The following is a 9,767-nucleotide window of genomic DNA, read 5'->3' as shown; positions in this document are numbered from 1 at the left end:
AACCTCCGCTTCCCAGGTTCAAGCCATTCCCGTGCCTCAGCCTCCCAAATAGCTGGAACTACAGGTGCACACCACAACGCCAGGCTAATTTTTGTATTTTTAGTAGAGACGGGGTTTCACCCTGTTGGCCAGGCTGGTCTTGAACTCCTGCCCTCAACTGATCCACCCACCTCGGCCTCCCAAAGTGCTGGGATTACAGGCGTCAGCCACCACACCCAACCAACAATCACATCTGATCCTACAACAAATAACTTTATAAGGCAGCTTTGACTGTCACCCCCAGTTTACAGATGAGAAGACTGAGGCTTAGAGAGAAGGCACCGGTCTAGACAAACAGCCAGCAGGTGGAAGGCTGAGACTTGAACCAAGATCTGTCTGACTCCAGAACTTGTGCTTCTCTGTTGCTTCCAGGCCCAGCAGGGATGCTGACAGGGGTGGCACAAGCTCACGGCAGCTCAGCCACAGACAGGTCACTCTGGCCCTGCTGTTACACCTGGTGTATCCCAGCTGCAGATTCCAGATGGAAGCAGCGCCCCCGCCCCCATGCCAAGGACACCTCTTCCCAGTTCTGACCACTGCATTTCTAGCACCCCCTGGACGTTCTGGTTTTCCTTTGCTCTTTAGAGATGACTATAATGACAGGATGAGTGTGAATAATAGTACACATCACATGTTGATAAAGGGCCTTTCTCCATGCCCAAAACTCCACCCACATATTCTTATTTGACAGACTACAGAGCATAAGGATTAAGTTTGCAGGCTTTGGTCAGAATCACCTCACTTTAAATCCCAGCTCTCCTGGGATTAATAGCACACCTGGTTGTGCAGCTGTATCCGTCAGCTACAGCCACAGTAATGCTGCGTAACAACACTTTGAAACTCAGTAACTTAACAGCAATAAACATTTATTGTCCCACCCATGGGTCTGCAGGTTGGCTGTGGTTTGGCTGCTGTAGGCAGGGCAGGGCTAAGGGGCTGTACTTCAGGCTGAGGGTCAGGGTCAGGGCTGCTTCACAGGTCTCTTCTCACACCAGGATCATGTCTACCCAGAGCAGTTGCCCACAGAAATGACAGAAGATCAAGAGCCAAGAGAAACCACACAGGCAGATCGAGGGCCACTACCCATGTTACTAGCATTCCACTGGCCAAAACAAGTTCCATTGCCAAACTCAGTATCAGTGGAAAATACACTTCACCTGGGGTGGGAGTGGGAAGAAAGATTTGCTGAACAATTATCCAGACTACTGTGGTACCCTTGGGCCTCTGTTTTCTCATCTGTAAAATGGGAACCAAGTGCTGAGTCAGCAGCAGAGGCTTCGGTCTGACGCAGCACCTCCCAGGGTCCAAGCCTTTGCCTCCCCAAGGCTTTCTGATTTTACCCTGCTTTATTCTGTGGCCTTGGCACGTTGGCAACCTCTGGGGTGGAAAAAGCTGATGTCCTGGGCCCCCATGTCATCTGGGTCATTTACTCAATGACTGGTCATGCCACAAACTCTCTCTCATATCCGGAGTTCACCCCAGAAGACTTTCAAGAACCCCTTCCCTGACCAGCACCCATGGGCCAGGTGAGGCCCGTTCAGCCTCTTACAGCACACAGCCTCCCCTCTTTTGTGCTCTTAGCACAACCATGACTCACTAGCTACTGAACACCTGCATGAATTCTGCCTCCCAGGTCTGCAGGCGAGAGCCCCGAGGGCAGGGACTGGGTCCGTTGTGTGCCGCGTAGTGCTAGTGCCTGGCACACAGCAGAGCCTGAACGACCATGTGGCCTGCATGAGACCCTGTGGCTCAAATTCATTCTTTCATTGACTTCTTTATCCAATCATTTGTTCTTATATTTTCCAATTCATTCATTCATCCAGTTGTTCACAATTCCAGCAGGCTCCGGTTGCCGATGGTGACACCATCGTTTCAGGAACTGCCCTTGGAGTCAAGGAGACAAATTTCAAAGAGAGGGTGAGCTTGACAGATACCCAAAGGGCAGCACTCCCTCCCTCAGCTCCTGTCCCCCACTTTGTGAAGAGGGATTAACAATAGCACCTCCTGTGGTTGTCGTGAATGTCAAATGATCTAGTAGATCATCATTTTTATTATTGTCTCAGAAGCCACCATGCACTGGGCTCGCTCTGTGCCAGGGACTGTGCCAGGCACTTTCCCTGTGTGATCTGATGGAATCCTCAGAATAAGTCCTTGGGGGTGATGCCCCAGTGGCTGCCACTCTCAGAGGAGGAAGCTGGGAACAGAGGGTTAGCAACAGTCCAAGGCCACACAGGGCTGGGATTCCACAGCAAGTCTCCCCCTCCCCCAGGCTGCCTAGGCACACGCTGCTCTGCTCCCTCTTTTGCCAGGAACATCCTGGAGGTCGGAGCTGCCCCTGGAGGAGGGTAGATGAGAAAGCACCTCACAAATCCCAAGGACACAGGGCCACATGTTATCGAATCTTGCTGAAGACCCTCATTACGGACATGAAATAACCCCTGGGGGGCTCCCCGGGGATATGGAGATTATACCCTGGCTCTTTCCTGGCTTTTTAGGGTCCTTTCCATCCCCCTCTGGTGGCTGCCTCCCCAGGGAGTCATCAGACCATGTTGCTCTGAGAGTCCTCTGGTCCCACCCTTGGACCAGTCTCAGGGCCCTCCACTGACCCTCCTGGCTGGAGAACAGCCCAACCCAGCCAAGGATCAGGGGTCACCAAGCAGCCACTTCCCCCACTCCCACTGATATGAAAGGCCCAAGGGTGACCTCAGCCACAGAGCTGAGATTGTCTAGAAAAGAAAGTGAGCGGTGGGAGGGTGGACAAAATGCATCCCCAGCCAGTGTGCCCACAATTCCACCTGTGTCTGCCTGTGTGTGTATGTGTTAACACTTGTGCATATGTGTGCCTCCAATGTGCTTGCACCATGCTTGGTTACACGTTTAAGCATGTGCACAGATATGAGTGTGTGTGCATGCATGTACACAAGCATGGTACACATACATGCGTGGTGTGTCACACAGGATGGCCTTCATATGTTTATCTTCTCATGCGCTTTGGGCACATGCGTCTAACAAAGAACACGGCTGTCTGCCCCGGGGTATGCGTGGATGTGGGTACCTATGTGTGCATCTGGGAGGGAGGCTGGAATTTGATGCCTACTTGCCTTTCTCCAGCTAATCCTCCCTGTGCTCAATCCCAAGCTTTCTCTAAGTTGAAAAGGTTGAATGCAGTGATTTGCTATTAATCATTGGTTTTAGTGGTTTTTTTTGTTTTGAGAATTGCCACCACCTCTGTAGCAGTGACTGGCTGAGTTTTGATAAATAATTCCAGCCACTGGGATTCAAGTACTCCCCAAAAAAGAGGCACGTGGGACTCCCCACTCCCTTCCACCACCCTCCCACCTCCCTGGCTCAGCCCTAGTACCCTATAACCAGCAAGACCCATGGAAGATCAAGAAAGGTGATGATGTGGCCGGGCGCAGTGGCTCACGCCTGTAATCCCAGCACTTTGGGAGGCCAAGGCGGGTGGATCACGAGGTCAGGGGTTCGAGACAAGCCTGGCCAACATAGTGAAACCTCGTCTCTACTAAAATACAAAAAATTAGCCAGGCATGGTGGTGGGTGCCTGTAATCCTAGCTACTCGGGAGGCTGAGGCAGGATAATTGATTGAACCCAGGAGGTGGAGGTTGCAGTGAGCTGAGATCACGCCACTGCACTCCAACCCAGGCGACAGAGTGAGACTCCATCTCAACAAAATAAATAAATAAATAAATAAATAAATAAATAAATGAAAGGTGGTGATGTGTCTGTGGTCCCACACAGGTCCCCCTAACCCTGCAGCTTCTCCCTGGGGCCTTGGGATCCGGAGCTCACTCATCCGTCAGGAAGACAGTAACTGCCGGAGTGGCCCAGCCAAGAATGGGGAGACTCCAGGCCTCTCCCTGGGGACAGCAGTAGGCACCTCCCACCTGCCATCCCCCCCACATTGTAAATAATGCCAAAAATGAGCCGTTTTTAAAGAGTGTCCAGTGGGATTGTGGAGGCTTGTTTTAATTATACAAAAACAGCATGGGTGCTTGGGCAGATGTTGGCGCTAATTGTTTTGAAAGCAAGCCCTCTTGGCTCTGCCAAATCCTACGCTTGGGCACATCGTGATGTAATTCCCCAGCCAGGCAGGTGAGGTCACTCCCTCTGCTGGGCAGGCGGTGGCTGCTCCCCATGCACGCTTCATCCTAGACGCCCCCCGCCAACCCTGAGCAGACCTGCAGCAGGAGCAGAGTGGGGGTCCGGATAAAAGGGAAGGTGGAGTGGAGCAGACCAGGACTTCGCCTTCGGGGTCCTCTCCTCTCCTCTCCTGACCTCACCCCTACCCGCTCCAAGCACTGGCCTCCACTGACCCTCAGGCAGCCAGATGAGGGGACACTTCAAAGCCGAGAAAAGGGCTGGGAGGAGAATCAGTGGATACAGACGGAAGAAGCAAGAAAGAACAGGATCCACTGTTACTCCATCCTTGCTACATGCCTGGCCCTCCGCACAGATTATCCAATCTAATTGTGCCCAGCAAATTCTGTAATACCGGCCTTATTATCCCTATTTAACAGGTGAGGACATGAAGGCTCAGTGAAATAGCAAGCCAAGGTCACATAGCTGGAAGGCTACCAAGCCGGGCCCCTAATCTCAGCTCTTCCTCCTGCATGTGGAGGCTGGGAGGGCCACGAGGAACAGAGATGGGCCAAGGAATGCAGAGAGAAGAGATGAGAGGATGAGGTGCTGGAGGGATGTACAGAGGGCTGGGTAGGAGGGACAGAGGGTTGTCCATGGCGTGTGCCCGGGAAAGGGATGGTGAACTCAGGGGGGCAATTTTGCCTTTAACCCATCGCCCACCAGATGGGCTTCTACAAAGCTAATGGACCCCTTTCGAGACAGCCAGACTGGGAGCTGGGAGGCGGCAGTGAGGGTCCCACTCCCAAAGAACCAAACAGGAACCTAGCAGGGCTGGTGTGGTAGGAGCTCGGAAATAAATACAAGAGGAAAGACACAGAGAAATCCGGACAAAAACACGGAGTGAGAGGCCAAGTCAAAAAGGGACAGAGAGACAGCACAGCACCGGGAGCGAGGCGGGGCGCAGGGGGCCGGAGAGCCTGCGGAGGGACAGGCCGGGATGGGAGGAGGTGATGGATGGTGCGCCCATCAATTTCTGAAGGCCGAGGCTGGGAGAGCAGCAGAGTCAGTGAAATTTACATTATTAATCTCTTGTAATAATCTATGACTCAAGCAGGCTGAGAAAATAGCAGCGGCTACGCAGTGACCAGCCTATATAAATAACGGCTCTGCGCTCAATTTAATTGCACTCTAGTGAAAGTGCTCCTCTTGTATCTTTCTAATTACTTTAGTTTCATTAGGTCTAGCAGAGAAAGAGAGAGAGAGAGAGAACCAGAGAAAGGGCGGGAGGGAGCGACTCCATTGAGCGCCGCAACAATGAAAAATTCATATTCCGATTTTTTTTTTGTTCTGTGAAATATTTAAATGTTAATAGCCATTCAGTCCCTGACATGCTATCTCACCAGTGTGGAGTTAAACAGAAAATCTATTTAATCTAAGGAATCTCATTAAATGGTCGTGGCAAGGCAGTGGCTCGAAGGTAGTCAATAGCGGGGAGAGAGGGGAGAGAGAGGGAGAGAGAGAGAGGGAAAAAAGAGCTCGCTAAGATTCTTTAATTTAATTTATTGTCGTGCATGAGACACCAGGAGAGGCGGGGAGATGCTGGCTCCTGCGCCTCCATTTGAGTGGATAATGATTAAATGTTTTCTATTGTGCTACAGCTGGTATGTATTATCACAGAGAGAGTGAAAAACACAAACTCTCAGCAATTTTGACTGCTTTCCAAATATTAGCTCCTTTTAAAGCCATTAAAAGATTATCACTGATTTAACCAAATGTCTGTTTGGAGCATTAGCAACAGTCTGTTCTCCGAATCCCCAGAATGCCATTCCTCTCTTCTCTCCTCCGATTATCTCATCCACCCAGCAGTATTTAATTTCATTCCCATGAATATGCAATGAATTTAATTTTGAACACTATTTTCATCTGCTCCTGTAATCACAAAAAATGCTGGTGTAATTAGTTTCTAATTACTTGCTTTAATTGTTGTAGTAATCATTTTAATTACCCAAATGCACAGACATCAAATGCTAAAAGGAAAATAATCCTCTTGTACCTCCTACCTTGTCTTTTTACACTTGGTGTTTGATATCTCGATTTTGACACGGGCAACCTTCACCGAGCCGGGGGGTGCTCAGGGGCTTCTGGGGAAAGGGCCGCCGGGCCCAGGGAGGCCGCTCCAAGCCCGGGCCTCGGTGCAATCTGCTCACTGAAATTTGCATGCCCCCCAAAAAACCATTAAGTTAAAATATACAGTTATTGTACCTTTCTGGGCCGGGCGCCACATACGAGCCTATTGCTGAAGCCCAAACCGGCGCGAGCAGATGGTAAATCATGAAATTTTATGAAATTATTACGCCGGCGAGGTGTTTTGAATAGGAGCAGCTGTGAAGGAGATGGGACGTTATAAACACTCACAGGTGTTACCATCTCCCCCACTGCCAGCCGCAACATAAAAAAAAAAATTAAATTATAAACAAACCGGCAAATGTTGTAATCTCTCTCCTCAACACACTCCTTACAGGGAAATTGCTTAAACTAAGCAAAGAATTCAATTTTAATTTGCATAAAATATTTATCAAGGCTTACGCAAATTTCCGCGCAGCTCTCTTCCTGCCAAGTTTAAAATTGCTCAGACGTACAGAGGTGCAATATCGGCCTGCGAGGAGGCCATTCGGCTGGCCCTCCCGGCCACTTGAACCTGCACAGACGGACATGCGCCCAGATTAGCAGCTGGTCAGGCCCTGCCAATTTTCCCCCCACTTTTTTTTTTTCCTTTTTAATTCTTCTTCTTTTTTTTTTTTTTTTTTTTTTTTTGCAAGCAGATTGTTTTTCTCATTATGTTTTTATATCTACCTCAACTGTTAATTAGGCACTTAGAAGATTTTTTACTGGGGCCTGAGTGTAACAAGCCACTTTGTTTGCAGGCAGATACCTTGCTGCTGTTCTGTAAACACGGGCTCTTTGCTCCAAAAGCCTCATTTTCAGCCTATCACAGCGATGGTGTTATGTGCCAGGAGGGGGTGGCCCTGGCTGAGGGAGAGAGGTCTCGGTTCTCTAAGCTGGCTGAGGTCTATGACCCCAGATTGGGTCCTGGCCTGGACACCAGCAAGAGGAAAAGGAGGAGAAGGCAGACAAGAGGTTTAGGAAGATAACAAGACAACTCATCAGAGGGCCGATGGGGCCTTGCTGGACCCCGGGCCTCTTCCAAGACCTCAGAAGCCCCTTAAAGCCTGACTCCAGAATGCCAACCTTAGCGCCTGCATTCCTGCTTTGTTCCTGTGAACAGGGCTCCCACCATGCAACACTGGCCTTTCTGTTCCTTGAACTCAGCCAGGCTCCTTTCTGCCTCAGGGCCTTTGCACTAGCTGTTTCTTCCTCCTGGAATGCTTGCCCGAAACTCTCCACAGAGCTGGCTGAGTCCTCAGCTCAAAGCACACCTCCTCAAGGAAGCCATCCCTGACTGCCCAGTCACTCACGGACGACCTTAGATAATTGTCTTCACAGCATTTTTCACAACTGGAATGGACCTTGTTAAGGTGTGTGTCTATCTCCCCCACCGGGAGGAAGGGAAACCCAAGAGCGCAGAGATCTATTTGGTCCACTGCATTAACCCTTCAATAGGAGCAGCGCCTGGCACACAGTAGGTGCTCCACAGATGAGCAAATGAACATTACTTCTGCACACAGACATAGGCACAAATCTTCAGGCTTTTCTGGCTTTGTTTGTTTTTGAGTCAGAGTCTTGCTCTGTTGCCCAGGCTGAAGTACAGTGGTACGATCATAGCTCATGGCAGCCTTGACTTCCTGGGCTCAAACAATCCTCCTGCCTCAACCTCCCCCACTGCTATGATTCCAGGTGCACACTACCACGACCTGCTAGTTTTTTGTGGGGTTTTTTGTTGTTGTTGTTTTGTAGGGACAAGGTTTCACTTATGTTGCCTAGGCTGGTCTCAAACTCCTGGCTTCAAGCAATCCTCCCCTCCAGGCCAGCCTTTCCTTAGAGTAGTGCACTGGGCAAGGCCTGGCACCCATGCCCAATCGCTATTTATTAAAGAATAGACTCCTTGGGGACGTTTCCTTAGGCTCTGCCAGATGGGTCAACTACACGCCAAGAACAAGTCAAACGATGATGCCCCACGTGCCAGGCCCCGCTGTGCCATTGCCTTTACCACCCACACGGCCCACCATGCTATGACTGGACATCTGATTGAATCTCAAACTCACCCTCAGCGCCCAGCACCGCCAGATTCCCGCAGGCACCTCCAGAGGGGCCTGTGTCCACCTCCGTCGGCACCAGGTGGCTGCTTTAGAGGGAGGGGGGAGGGCCTTTCAGAAGGAGCTGGAATCAATGGGAAGAGTGAATTAGCTGTGGTGAGTGACTAATCAGGAAATAATCAGGTTTTACACGTCGCAAAAATGTCTGCACGCCAGATAGAGAATTGGGATAGAGGTTTCCAGCGAAGACAGAGGCAACAGCTTTGGGGGAGGTTTAGCTTAGCGGTGCAAGAAGGGAGAGCCTGCCCAGTCTCTGAGCCCCCCGCCCCCACTTTAGTGATGGTGTCTGTGGGTCTCACAGGGTTGCTAGAGGGTATAAAACCAGCAGTGGGAAATCCCCGGTGCTCCATAAATGTTAGCTCTGTATTAATAGAGTTATTAAGACACCTTGCCCCAAGGACCTGCTCCTGGGGTCCCCAGTTGCTGTGGCAATCCCTCTGCTGAGCATCCTGCCCCACCCTCGTCCACCTTCCCCAGGCCTGGGGTGTAAGCCAGGTAGGTACTATCATTCCCATTTAACAGATGGGAAAACTGAGGCTTAGCAATTGTTCCAAAGTCCCACAGGGGCGGAGGTCCTGGAATCCTGAGCTATCCATGAAACAATGGGAGGGACAGGGGACAATTCTAACAAAGTCCAGTTCAGAACTTCCAGGGTCACAGTGGGTCTAGGCAGAGGTCAGCCCAAGGTGGAGAGAATTTGAGTCCAAGGTTGGCCCAGTCAAGGGGTAAGTCCTGAAGTTCCAGGCTTCCAGGAGGTCAGTCCACTGGTAGCCAGGACTCGGTGGTTAGTGGGAGCAGGTCAGGATCTGGGGAGCACCAGGAAAAGAGGGAAAAACAACAGCTATTCCGTATTGAGCTCTTATTGCATGCAAGGTGGCAGTGCTGGGAGGTTTGTTTACAAGCGGAATCTCATTGGATTCTTGCCACAGCCGGGAGAGGCATTTGCTAGGATCACGTCTGTTTTTACAGTTGAGGACACGGGCTCAGAGAAGTGCAGTCACTTACCCAAGTCACACAGCGGATATCTAGGAAGCAGCAGAGTGGGTTTTGATCCCAGAGCTATTGCCTCCAGCATTGCATGACGTTGCATGATGCCATACCCCAGCCCAGGAGATGACTTTCCATATGGTCTTGGGCATGTCAGTTCCTAGGTCTGAAGGTCCAAGTTGACCTTGTGGGTTCAGGAGCCCTTACTCTGTGGGATGTTCATCACAATAACAGTTGTCAAACATCAAACATAGCAGGCACTCAAAAATGTCTTTATTTCCATTCTCTTTTTTTCTTTCCTTTTACCCCCAACCAATCTAAGCCAGAGTCAGTTCCAGGTTCTAATCCCAGTGGAAGGAGGCCAG

The 9,767-nt window shown here is 50.5% G+C and overlaps 2 annotated features.

Moving 5' to 3' along the window:
* Positions 3,677-4,176: an enhancer, noted in NCBI's record as "H3K4me1 hESC enhancer chr9:128822119-128822618 (GRCh37/hg19 assembly coordinates)". NCBI's record gives its function as "activates a minimal SCP1, AML or CMV promoter by ChIP-STARR-seq in naive H9 embryonic stem cells {active_cell/tissue: H9 hESC(naive)}" and the evidence as "EXISTENCE:reporter gene assay evidence [ECO:0000049][PMID:30033119]".
* Positions 4,177-4,678: an enhancer, noted in NCBI's record as "H3K4me1 hESC enhancer chr9:128821617-128822118 (GRCh37/hg19 assembly coordinates)". NCBI's record gives its function as "activates a minimal SCP1, AML or CMV promoter by ChIP-STARR-seq in naive H9 embryonic stem cells {active_cell/tissue: H9 hESC(naive)}" and the evidence as "EXISTENCE:reporter gene assay evidence [ECO:0000049][PMID:30033119]".

Source organism: Homo sapiens, chromosome 9 (assembly GCF_000001405.40).
Source record: "Homo sapiens chromosome 9, GRCh38.p14 Primary Assembly".
Taxonomy (NCBI): domain Eukaryota; kingdom Metazoa; phylum Chordata; class Mammalia; order Primates; family Hominidae; genus Homo; species Homo sapiens.
This window is presented reverse-complemented; position numbering and strand designations above follow the sequence as displayed.